Raw genomic sequence first — 14,227 nt, 5'->3', positions numbered from 1 at the left:
AAATAATTCTACAAATTTAAATGTTGCTATCATTCAGTTTCTTCTTATTTTTGCCTTTTTAAGTATTCACTAAATTTGAAATATTTCTATTGATGGTCAATTTAATATTTTTACTGGCAACTTAAACTCTTGGCTAAACTTCCCAGAGCTATTTATGGACATTTTCCCTTGCCTGCCTATAAAAACACATCACTGGAGTATTTTTAACAGCAAAGTCTGTATGAAACAGTTTACTTTCCTGACCTGTCAGATACTCATGGCTGTTTCTAAGTAGCCTCATTTGTAAGGCCTTGTGGATTTTTGTCCAATTGGTGTCATTTCAATTTAAAAAAATGTAGTGGTATATTCATTAAGAATACACTACCTATGGCTAGAATTCCACTTTACAAAATTCCATGCCACTGCAGGCATTTTTGTTACTTCCAGAAATAACTGTTATATCTAAGTGATCCTCAGGGAAGGATTTGCCATCTCTTTGATAAAATTGAAGTTGTAGACATGTTCTTTTTCTGCAAGCTTTAGCATTGTTTATATGTAAGGAGTGGAGAGCAACAACAACAAAAAGAAGTGTAACCTTATCTTTTTCAAATAAAATGGGCTATGGGGGTGTTTTTGAAAGGTTATAAAATATTATTCTCTACCTCTACACAGGAATGTATTCACATCATATACATCAGAAATGGCAAATTAAGGTTCATGGCAAGCGCCAATTGATTTTCACTGATTAATTGCTAGTAGCTGCCTGAAGCATCATACTGAGGAAAGTTCAGAGGTTTAGTTCAGTTTCAGGTAGAAAAAATGCCATCCTTTCAACATTTTCAAGAATTAAAAAAAAATGAATTTAGAGGAGTTATGGTCATGCTTGGCAGGAAGAAATAGTCTAGTCAGCACAGAGATACATGTGTCACCCACTAAAGAGTATTATTATTTTGGATAAATAGACTAATTTAAAAAAATTAAAGGTCTCTAAGATGTTTGGAAAGGCTGTTATATTAGTCACTGACAACTTAGTAGTAATTAATTAAATAATCTAACTTCTCACTGAGATCAGTTGAGCTGTGGGAATGGCATGGGGCATGATTATGGGAGAAGAAAAGGAGTGACAGGTTGTGGGCAGGAGACAGCAGAAGGAAAATGTAAAATTCTTTTGAGAGACTTTAGCTCCATAGATTGCCAATGTCTTATCTAGGTCACTGATGAAAATGTCAGACAGAACCAAGCCTTGATTTGACACCTGCTAAACATTATTTATGTCCTAAAGCTGACATCAAACTATCTGCAACCATTCTATTTATAAGTTTCCTGAGCACCCTTCTGCGTTTCCAGATCTAAAGTGCAGTAGCGCTCTCAGCACTTAGCTGATAAATTTGCCTGAAAATACAGTGCTCCGAATTAGCATAGGAATCTTCTTTCTGTGACTCTGTGTACTTTCATCTATAATTTAGGGGGTGGTGGAAATTGTATGAGACAGAGCTTGAAGAGACTTGTAGTTTAGCTGTAGCTTACCCTAGTTAATTGTGTAATTTTGTGCAAATCACTTAATCTCTCCAGACCTCAGAAAATGAAGGTTAACCCAGATCAGCACTTCCCAACTCTGGCCTCCAAATTCCAGAGAGTTCTACTCACTGACGAGGGCCCACAGATGCATACGTAAACCAGACTTGCCAGTGTGAAAGACTGTGGAGTTAGCATGTTCAAAAGAGGACCTTGTACCTAAATAGATGGGAAGCACTGGTGTAGGTTCCAGACAAGCTTCTATATTTCTCTGTCAGCCTTTGACTCATAGAACCCCTTTCTGTATTTAACAAGAATGTGTATATTTAACAAGGATAAGAACAATCACTTCTGTTTTGTAGAAAAGTAGCAACACATAGAAAAGTATAATTAATTAATTTTCCCTATCTTACATGATGGCTTCTTAATTGACATAGGAATTGAATGCTGTCTTTTGAGTAAGTTTATTTTCTTCAGTTTAGTACTGTATAGGATCCTATTATATTTAATATCTTACCTTGATAACAGTTAAACTAGCATGAATGTTTAATTAAATTAAATACATAACCATTTTATTTTATTTAATTAAAATGTTGTCCTTCAGTTGATCACTTCCAATGAGAAGCAGGGGCAGAATGTATGTACAGTAAGTGACTTTGGTACAAGATAGAATTTGACTTTTCCCAGAATTAAGTGGTGGAGTTTCACTGTCAGCTAACATGAGCTATGGAATCTTGGCTCTCTTCAGAGCTACATGACTCCAGATACTCTTTTAATATGCCAGGAGATATTTAATCTATGATGTCAAAACTCACAGGAAATTCAAGCTAAAGAATGCATGTTACGTACTCATTAGGACACCAGAGAAATTTTTTCAGGTCATACTGACACACTGTATGTGGAACTGACGTCTTTGAGAGATCAAACTTTCATGGATATTTTAAAAATGTGAACCCTGGTAAATCTTCACAAGAAGATCATATGTAAGCAGCTACACACAAACTTAGATTAGGTTTGTTAACTGATGAATGCCAGAAACTGTGGTCTTTCTTAATTGTATGCAGAAAGATACACATTTTCCATTTCTGAGAGTTTGTGATGTATTAAAAAAAGTCAAATGAGAAAATAGGATGTTTCCATCTTAAAACTGGATGTCTGGTGGGATAATACACAAATTCAACAATTCCCTCTTTGCACACCCCAGACCTTGTGGGGTACGTAAGGGGTAGACCATGAGTTTACATCAGGGGTTCATGAACCTGCTTAGGCAATGAGCCTTAACTGTTAACTGCTAAATATTATATTTTGTATATTTGTACTTCTATCTATCTTTTAAATGTACGCTGTTGTGGTTAATACAATACTAATTCATTAAAAGGTGTTACTGAAATTATAGTATCTTTTTTATACTATCTTTTTGATGTTATAGATATATTAACCTCCAATTTTAAGAGCTCAAGAATTATCACATAGATGTCTGTGAAATTTTGCTTGTAAAGGGTCCTCATTTTGAAAGGTTGGGAACCACTCTCTTAATGGATTCGGGGAAAGTGACAGGCTGCTGGAAAGCTATTTTCGGCAAAAGGGCTCTCTTGTCGCAGCTGCCTGTGTGCTAAGATAAAGGGCAAAGTGTGACTTGAGAAGAAGCAATCTTAACTAGCGTTTGCCAGGCCACAGACTAAATTTTACTTGTGTGCATAGTACTTGGTGTGAGAAATGACATCTCTCCCAAATCTCAGGTGTCAGCTTGTTTCAAAGTTATTTGGCCAAAATAGCAATAAAAATACAATAGGTTCTAAATATTCTATTCAAGCTCACACTCCTAGGCATTATATTATACCTCCGAGTCACTGGGATTTCAAGGTTAGTGAAACAACATAACAGATATTTGCTGTGGGAGGAAGAAAATAATCAAGTATTAGCTGGAAGAAATACTGAACAACTTTAGGTGTAGGAAGTTTCGCATAAGAGAATCTAGTTATGGCAAGCGAGGAGGCTACCGCCCTCTAGTGGTGTCCTTTCTACTTCTCAGGTACTTTAGCATATCCCGGAGAAGTTGCCTCTTTTACTTATTTTTTTTTTTCAAGTTTACCATCTATTGCCAATCCCATCTTCACATCACAAAAGTCTTTCATTTACCTTGTTAAAAGGCACATATTCTCATTGTATTTTTATGTATTGGTGGGTTGTGTTCGTTGCTATAAAAAATTTTTACATTTAACAAAATGTAAAAGGTACTAAGATAGTTCTAGTTCTTACTCCCGAAGAAGCCTGCAATATAGGTGATGATAAGTACAAAGATAAAATTTATGGTACATCTTTTCCCATCAAGGTCAAAGAGTAATTATATATATATACATATATATATGTGTGTGTGTGTGTGTGTGTGTGTGTATATATATATATATATATTTTTTTTTTTTCTGGGACAGAGTCTTACTCTGTCACCCAGGCTGGAGTGCAATGGCATGATCTTGGGTCTCTGCAGCCTCGACCTCCCTGGGGTGAAGTGATCCTCCCACCTCAGCCTCCCGAGTAGGCAGGGCTACAGACACGTGCCACCACACCTGGCTGATTTGTAAAATTTTTGTAGAGATGGGGTCTCGCTATGTTGTCCAGGCTGGTCTTGAACTGTAGGCCTCAAGCAATCCTGCCACCTTGGCCTCCCAAAGTGCTGCAATTATACGCATGAGCTGCTGTGCCTGGCCAGTAATTGTATCTTATTTACTAGAAAAATAATCATTTGATCTTACATGCTTGACTCACTGGTCATTGGGATGATTTTCAGTATTTTCAGCTGCAATTTTTAAAAAAGAAAATCATAATGGGAGAGGAGTTACGGTGTTAAATAAAACTAGTGTAGGTGTGTGTGATGGGGGAGGATGGCAAAGGGAGAGGAGAAGATTCCTGTCTGAGCCGTGTCTCTTATTTACACCTGTTCTTAAACTGTCATATTTATTTGTTGCCTTGCTTGTAAGAAGATGAAAGGTGGTTAAGCTGTCACTGACAGGTTTATTTTCCATGTATTAAAATGACATGACTTGATTAATTGTCGGTGTAACGACCTAATTATTAATGAACCTGCTGTCATGTACATGAGTGTCCAGAAAAATGTCTGGATTCCCAGTCGATTTATATCTTACGACTTCAAATTCTTTGATCTCTAAGGGTGAAGTGTCTGCTAGGAACAGGAATAGAGGTTTTAGAATTGTTTCTATAACCAAGATCAGTAAATTCTCATCGTGTAAGTGAAAGAGCATCATTTGTACTAAATACCACATTCATTTGTGCATCCACATATGATAGGGCTGCGTAATGGCAGCAAGAGAATCCTAAAACAAGTCACTCTAAAAGATTTCAGAATATCCCTAAACATTTAAAAAATTTTGCCCATGTCTAGAGTGAGTCTTTAAAAAAAAAATATATATATATATACATATATATACTTAATTTTAAAATATTTTTAGAGCCTGGTCTGTGAAAAATATTTGAAGGTAAACTGACTTAGAATATGGTCTGACTTTGACCTCATAAAGTTTCTGAGGAAGTTAGTTGATTTTATAGGATAAATATGAACTGATTGTGTGATATTACAGGGAAAAAAATCCAATGTAGACATTGCCTGCATTAATATAAGTATGGTATTTAGATCAGTGCTGTACTCTACCCTGGTCAGACACATGTGAAATACTCTTCTCTATTATGGGCATCAGAGTTTAATGATATCGACAAACTACATAGTATTCAGCAGCAGGAAATGTGGGAAGCCATATGAAGAATACTTAAACTGGGGAAATTACTTCTAAAATACGAAAGATGTAGTGCTGTTTTAGCTCTTTTCAAATATATGAAAGACTGTGCTGTAAAGGGAAAGGGGATGTGGGAGGAAAGAGGTATTGAGTCTAAATCTATCGTTTTAAAGTTTCATTATTTTCTATGTGTAATTTGTCTTGAATTTGTTCCTTTCCATTCCTCTCATGTAATATGTTTCATGTATTTGTCCCAGTCCCCCTATTTTCAATGTTTGTACTTTAATTTGGATTATTGTATTAAATGTATATCTGGTTTTTACTGCTCATCCCTGCCCTCATCCAGCTTTAATTCTGATACTAAATGATTCATCCTAAAATATTCTTGATATCATGAAAGTATAATTTGAATTTACGTCTGACGTTAAAATGTCCTCATTCATAATTTATGCTGATTTTACTTATTTAGTCTTATTTTCTAGAATTCCCGGTGGGCTATCTACTATACTTAAGTTTGTTCCTTCACTATCCCACACCTGTCATGTTCTTTGTCATCTGTGCCTTTTCTCAGGTTGTATCCCTTAACTACTCACTTCTAAACCTCTGTCCAGAGATTCCTCTTAATGCATCAAATTCCTGTCTATTCTTGGAGAGCCATTACATGCCATTCTTTCCTTTAGGCCCTTCGTAAACTATTATAGCCATAATAATTTTGTCTCATAATTCCTATAGCCTATTTTGATTATACCATAATTTTTAATACTTGATTTTTTAGTAAGATGTGGCTACAAAATAATACCTATTCCATGACATTGCTCATCGATCTCATTCTAGTCAAATGTTATACTTTTAGAGTATTTTGTTGCACTAATGGCCACGATTTGTCCAAGCCTCCTTGTATCCATGACCTTGGATAGATCCTCCTATAATGACTCTGGACCCAGCCATTTGACGTAATTTGGCCAAAGAGACAATAATCAAATGTGATACCAAAAAACCTGAAAAGTGTTATGCACTGGGGCTTGCCTTGTCTTGCTTCTTGTGAGAACCCTAAGACACTTAAATGAAAAAGTTGATGAAAACATGTAGCCCAGCCATCTCTGTCTCCCAGTTCAGGGCCAATACTAACCAAGAGCCAGCACCAATTGCAAGACACATGAGTGTGGCTGTCCTAAGAACCACTAACCCCCAGCCAACCCAACCAGCAGATGCAGCTGAATGTCTGAGCCCAGGAAAGACCAGCAGAAGAACTGGCCAACTGACATTGCCAGCTGGCATTGCTAACTCACAGAATTGCTAGCCAGAAATATAAATGTTGTTTTTTTCTGTCTAGCAATTTAAAACTGAGGACAGTTTAAGAGTGGCTTATTTTGCTGCAAAATATAACTAATGTAAGGGTTATTTATTAGCCAGTTTTTACTGGGGTATTAGATTTGCTTCAGCTTCTATACTGTGTGTAATTTTAGGACAAGAACCATGACATCTTTTCTAAAATTTCAAGATTTTAGACAGTGCTAGGTTCATAACTGATATTTGATAAATAATAATTTTAATATTGTTTTCTTGGTACCATGAGGATGAGATTAACAATCTTTACACACAATATCACCTGAATTTTCTTTTCTTTTCTTTCTTTCTTTTTTTTTTTTTTTGAGACAGGGTCTCACTCTATTGCCCAGGCTGGAGTGCAGTGGCATGATCTCAGCTCACTGTAACCTCCGCCTCCCGGGCTCAAGCGATTCTGCCACCTCAGCCTCCTGAGTAGCTGGGACCACAGGCACACACTACAACACCTGGCTAGTTATTTTTATTTTTATCTGTAGAGATGGGGTTTCACTATGTTGCCCAGGCTGGTCTTAAACTCCTGAGCCTAAGTTATCTGCCCACTCCCAAAGTGCTGGGATTATAGGTGTGAGCCACTATGCCTGGCCATCACCTGCATTTTCTAATTTTAGGTAAGATAAATCTTTTTGAAGAGGTCAAAGGACATGAACAGATACTTTTCAAAAGAAAACATATAATGTGGCCAACAAGCATATGAAAAAAAGCTCAATATCACTGATCATTAGGGAATTGCAAATCAAAACCACAATGAAATACCATCTCACACCAGTCAGGATGGCTATTACTAAAAAGTCATAACAAAATAACAGATGCTGGCAAAGTTGCAGAGAAAAGGAGATGCTTATACACTATTGGCGAAAGTGTAGATTAGTTCAACCATTGTAGGAAGCAGCGTGGCAATTCCTCAAAGAGCTAAAAACAGAACTGCTGTTCAACCCAGCAATCTCATTACTGGGTATGTACCCAAAGGATATTAATTGTTCCACCAAAAAGATGCATGCACGGGTATGTTCATTGCAGCACTATTCACAATAGAAAAGACATGGTATCAACCTAAATGCCCATCAATGGCAGATTTGCTCATGAAAACGTGGTACATATACAGCACGGAATACTATGCAGCCATAAAAAAGAACAAGATCATGTCCTTTGTAGGAACATGGATGGAGCTGGAGGACATTATCTTTAGCAAACTAATGCAGGAACAGAAAACTAAATACCGCATGTTCTCACTTATAAGTGGTAGCTAAAAGTTGGGAACACATGGACACAAAGAGGGAAACAACAGATACTGAGGCCTACTTAAGGATGGAGGGTGGGAGGAGGGAGAGGAGCAGAAAAAATAATTATTGGGTACTCGACTTAGTACGTGATGAAATAATCTGTACAATAAACCCCCATGACATGAGTTTGACTATCTAACAAACATCTACATGTACCTCTGAACATAAAATATAAGTTTTAAAAAAGAAAAGCCAAAAACAACAAAAAAAGATAATTTATTTTTCTTTAAAAAGATATGGAATTCATGATATGCATATACTGGATTGGACCTCCAATTTTTAAGAAGTTTCCGTAAAGAACAATACTGAGGCAATTGGCAAGATCTGAATGTGGGATGCATATTAGATAATAGTAATTCATCAATGTCAAATTTCTTGAATTTTGTAATTATACCATGATGCCGTAAAAGAAAGATTCAACAAGATACCATACTAAATTTACTACTAAGTGCACATATATGTACATATACATACATATATATGGAGAGGGGAAAGAGAAAGAACAGTTACAATGAAATGCTAAGAATTTGGTGAATCTTAAGTAAAAGGTAAAAGATGAGTTGTACCATTCTTGTACCTTTTCAGCACATTTGGAATTTTTATTTAAAAGAAAAAGAAAAAAAAAGGTAAGAGCCACTACTCACCAATTTAAGCATTTCATTTATAAAAGATCTAGGTCACTGTTGTTCAAAATGAAAGGTCTATTGGACATCAAGAATGAGTTGCCAGTTACTCCATCAACTCCACTGTCATCATTCATTATCCGAAAGCATTTACTCTTCAGTCCACTGTGGAGTATTAGGGAGGAAAAAGCAAGGAAGTGTTCAGTGAGGGCTGTAGACTGAGTGGCCAGCAATGAATGTGGGAATCTTTAGGCTTATCAGATTTTCTAACACATGCAAAATTTATAAGTAGATTCTAAGAATAAATGATTTCCAATATTATTCTTAGAAATAATGTAGTGTTAGGCCACTTGCAGTGGCTCATGCCTGTAATCTCACCACTTTGGGAGGCCAAGGTGGGCAGATCACTTGAGTTCAGGAATCTGAGACCAGCTTGGGCAATATGGCAAAACCCCATCTCTGTGAAATATACAAAATTTAGCTGGGCGTTGTGGCGCGGTGCCTATGGGGCTGAGGTGGGAGGATCTTGTGGTGAGCTGAGATTGAGCCACTGCACTCCAGCCTGGATGACAGAATGAGACTCTGTCTCAAACAATAGTGTAGTATTGACCTACTCTTCTGCTCTAAAATGAGGTCTCACTGCAGTGGAGAGCTATCTACTTGGCAATTAGTAAGTGATAACAGATGAGGGAAATGGTGCTGCAATTTTTTTCCCCTGGGGTAGGAGAAGCAAAATTTAAACTTAAACCATTCAGTTATCTCCTTTGTTACCAGCACTTTTCTCTGCTGACTGAGCTTTGGGATCATCTGGAATATAGCGTAGTGACCCCACTTAAAACTTATCTGACATTCTCTGACTTCATTACCATTGTATTTGTGTACAAATAAGAAAACACCATTTTCTGGAAAAACTCTGGAATGCTACAGACTAATTTGAGATATTTACTATTTCAAGAGAAACATTTTCTTTTTTACAGGAACTTTATACAAGCTGTTAAAGATACTATTTTATTAAAACAGACAACGAAAACAAGCAAAACAATCTGAAATTAGGCAAATGCTCAGTTTCAAATGCCATAAGAAGATGAATGGTTATGTTAGGTGTTTTAGGAATTGATTTAAACATCTTTTTCAAAGTATTGATTTTAGTAGGAAGTACAGATTTAAAGGATGAATTAATTTTGTGTATATGATAGAGACTGGACTCAGAGATAGTAGTCTCTTTCCTAGATAGATATTCTTAAATATAAAAATTGAATTCAAAGTTAGAAATATTAAGCTTCACTGCAGTTGACACAATTTGAGGGGAAAAGGGATAAATATATAGCCCAGTAATAAAATTATTGGTTAAATAAAGGTCAGGGAGAGAAAATTCTAGTTAAAATGGTACTTTCTTTAAAAGTATGCTATGCTTTCAGTTGCTGATGCAAACTGTAGCCAGATAAGATAAAACCTTCCTGTTCGTTTTCTATCTACGCCTTGTGTTGAACGCAAAGGCAAACAAAAGGCTTTGAAAATGCTGTAATCATTACTCAACATCAGTTATCAAAATCATAATCAGAACACACTTGCATGAAAACTCTCTTAACATAGACAAGTCCAAAGTATGTAGCTCTAATAAGAATAAGCTATGATTAAGTATACAAAGAAAACTCTCTTAAGAAAAAAATAATGTTTCCCATTTTGATTTAAAAAATATTTACCCTGTAACTGGAACTGGGGTAGGGGAGGAAAATGTTTCTCTTGAAATGCTAAAAAATTTAATTTCTTATATGATTTTGCAGTTTTCCCCCTTGTATAAATAAGAGAATGAAATTGCAATGCTTGTTATTTTAATGTAGATCTTACTCCTTCCAGGGGCCCACACACTTAACTGTCCCTGGTTCAATTTTATTCCTTAGCACTTCATACAGTTGCTGGTTGGAAGTAATGAGGTAAGTCCTGGCTTCTTCCTATTTATAGAACTGAGGCGATGACCAGAAATGACAGATGGGGCTTATGTCAGTTAGCATTTAAATTCAGTTCTGAAGCTCCAGGCCAAGAATGAGGAGTGGGCTCTTTATTAACTTTCCTATTTACTTTGTTAATCAGTTTATATTAATCAACTATATATGTACTTAGAACTGGCAAAGGCAAATTATCTTCTCTTACTTACTAAATAAGAACTTCTAAATAATTGCAAACCTCAAAATAAGTGAAGTTTAGTATATTCTTGTGGTTATTCAGGGAACTTCCCTCCTACCCCCGATGCAGCCTCAATCATTAATGATTTAATTTTAACATTTTATAATTACATAAGAAGAAAGAGACTAGACATGGTGGTGCACACCTGTAATCCTAGCTACTTGAGAGGTTGAGATAGGGAGCACAGGAGTTTGAGGCTATAATGCCCTATGATCATACCTGTGAATAGCACTGCACTCCAGCCTGGGCAACGTAGCAAGACCCCATCTCTGAAATGTTGGGTTTTTTTAGTCTTAAAAATTAAAAAGAAAAGAAGAGGTAATTTATTGTCCTGTCTGAATTTGTTCACCTATTAGCAGGCTTAGAATGCCATCCTTTAAGTGAATGAATATAGATTCTTTCATTTCAATTGATTATATGTTTTTAAAAGGTCATGCTGATCTCTGAATTGTACCGTTCATTCATTCATTCATATAACAAATATTTATTATGTGCCATGTGCCAGGCATTTACTAGAGAAGTTACAGTAAAAAAGACACAATCCTGACCCGACGCAGCATTTTACATCTTATATAGGCTACAAACGAGTGTATAGATAGTTACAATAAGCCCAGTACAGGAGTATAACCAGTTTTAGGAGGAGATTAAGTACAAGGTGCTATGGAAGCATATAAAAGAGACATACAATTCAATCTTTTGGCCCAGGAAACTTTCAAGTGAAAGTAATATCTGAGCTAAGAACTGAAGGATAAGTAGGAGTTACAAGTTCAAGATCAGAAATGGAGGAGGGAAGAGGGGGCAAAAGAAAGGTGGAAAATATTTTGGGCAGAGAGACATGAGCATAAACAAGACCCCAAAGGTTAGAGAAAGCATGATGTGAGCCTAGAGACTGGGGTAATGTGAGAAGAGGTGAGGTTGGAGATGTCAAGTATTGAAGGCAATGCTCATCCTCACTAGGATTTGTAACTTTACCCTGGGAACCATGAGGAGTCACTGTCGATTTCTAAGTAGGGGGCAGATGTATAAAAATCACTCTGTCTGCCTTTGGAAATCATCAGAGCAGGGATATACTGATAGGTATATAATTAAGAAGCTATGGCAAGGATCCCAGAAGGAATGCCGGAGATTTAAATCAAGAGATTGAGAGAAGTTGACAGACTTGAGAGAGATTTAGAAAGTGAACCCTAAAAGACTTGGTAGTTACTGGGGAAAGAGAGAGAGAGAAGAGTGAAAGACGATGCTGAAATTCCTTCCAGGCCAACTAGTGGATGGTGGCAATATTTATTTTGCATATGTGGATACGGCGCACTAGAGAGAAATTCATATTCCAGAAAAGGATCTGAAAGTCATCAGCGTACAGACTGTAATTAAAATCCTGAGCATGAATAAAACCATCCAGATGGCCGGGCATGGTAGCTTAAGCCTGTAATCCCAGAACTTTGGGAGGCCAAGGTGGGCAGATCACTTGAGGTCAGGAGTTCGAGACCAACCTGGCCAACAAGGTAAAACCTCATCTCTGTTAAAAATACAAAAATTAGCCAGGCGTGCTGGCACACGCCTGTAATCCCAGCTATTGGGGAAGCTTGAGCCCAGGGGGCAGAGGTTTCAGTGAGCCAAGATTGTGCCACTGCACTCCAGCCTGGGTGACAGACCAAGACTCCGTCTCAAAGCAAAGCAAAACAAACAAACAAACCATCCAGGAGGATGGGCAGAATGAAAAGAAGGCCTAAAACATAACCACAAAGGAGACCAACATTAAAAGAATGAGTTGAATAAGATGATATTGTTTGGATCTGTGTCTCAATCCAAATCTCATGTTGAATTGTAATTTCCAGTATTGGAGATGGGACCTAGTGGGAGATGATTGCATCATAGGGGTGAATTTTTCACGAATGCTTTAGCACCATTCTCTTGGTGCTGTCCTCACAATGGAGCATGCCTTCTCAAGAGATCTGACTGCTTAAAAGTATGTGGTACCTCATTATCTGTCTCTTGCTCCTGCTCCCACCATGTGAGACACCTGCTCCCCCTTCACCTTCTGCCATGATTGTAAGCATCCTGAGGCTTCCCCAGAAGCAGACACCAACATTGTGCTTCCTGTACAGTCTGCAGAACCATGAGCCAATTAAACCTCTTTTCTTGTAAATTACCCAGTCTCAGGTATTTCTTTACAGCAGTGCAAGAATGGCCTAATACACAAGATGAACCTGCAAAACAAACTGAGAGGGAATGTCTAAAGAGACATGAAGAAAACTTAAGGTGTCAAGGAAGTCAGCTGAAGCCAGTGTCACCAATCTTGATATCATATGGGATTGAGTAATATGCACACCAAGGATTACCTTCATGCTTATTAATGGCCCAGGCCTTGAAGATATTGCTTCCCCAGACTTGCAGGACATTCCCTTTCCCCTTGACCCCTACTTGACCATCTCTTATCTTCTTTCTTGCTAAACTTTCTGCAATACACATGTACTAACTTTACAATCTAAAAAAATTAATTTTTTGAAAGTCAGCAATTTCTTGCAAAATAATACATGTTACAATGTTAGTTCAATAATAACTTTTAGTATTTTTGTTTAAATTTAGTATATATTTTCAAGAAGTCTTTGCTTAAAAAATATCTTTTCTGTGACCAGGTGTGGTGGCTCATGCCTGTAATCCAAGCACTTTGGGAGGCCGAGGAGGGCAGATCACGAGGTCAGGAGATCGAGACCATCCTGGCTAACACACGGTGAAACCCCATCTCTACAAAAAGAAAAAAAAAATTAGCCGGGCATGGTGGCGGGAGCCTGGAGTCCCAGCTACTCGGGAGGCTGAGGTAGGAGAACGGCACGAACCCGGGAGGGAGAGCTTGCGGTGAGCCGAGATTGCGCCACTGCGCTCCAGTCTGGGCTACAGAGCGAGACTCCATCTCAAAAAAAAAAAAGTATATATATATATACACAAATATGTATGTTTTTTGTGATTTTAAGTTTTAAGGTATTTTTGTTTTCCCGTTACTAAAAAAAAATTCTAGTAATACAGATTGTCTGTATTTTGAAGTTTAAATATGTGACGAACAATTAATGACCTTTTCTAGAAATAGGACAGAAGAAAACAAAAATTCCAATCACTTTAACATAATTTAATGGAGCAAATGTGAATTCTTTCTATTTTCTTGTTTTGTTGTTGTTGAGACAGAGTCTCGCTTTGTCACCCAGGTTGGAATGCAGTGGCTCGATTTTGATCTTGGCGTTCACTGCAACCTCTGCCTCCCAGGTTCAAGCAATTCTCTGCCTCAGCCTCCCTAGTACCTGGGGATTACAAGTGTGTGCCACCATGATCGGCTAATTTTTGTGTTTTTAGTAGAGATGGGGTTTCACCGTGTTGGCCAGGCTGGTCTCGAAGTCCTGACTTCAAGTGATCCACCCGCCTGAGCATCCGGAAGTGCTGGGATTACAGGTGTGAGACGCCACGCCCAGCCTAATCTTTCTACTTTCTTATATCATGTTCATTTTATTCTACCTAGAACTCACCAAGTGGAGTCTGTATTATCTTTTTGTAATTTTGT

Source organism: Homo sapiens, chromosome 4 (assembly GCF_000001405.40).
Source record: "Homo sapiens chromosome 4, GRCh38.p14 Primary Assembly".
Classification (NCBI taxonomy): domain Eukaryota; kingdom Metazoa; phylum Chordata; class Mammalia; order Primates; family Hominidae; genus Homo; species Homo sapiens.
Note: the sequence above shows the minus strand (reverse complement) of the source record.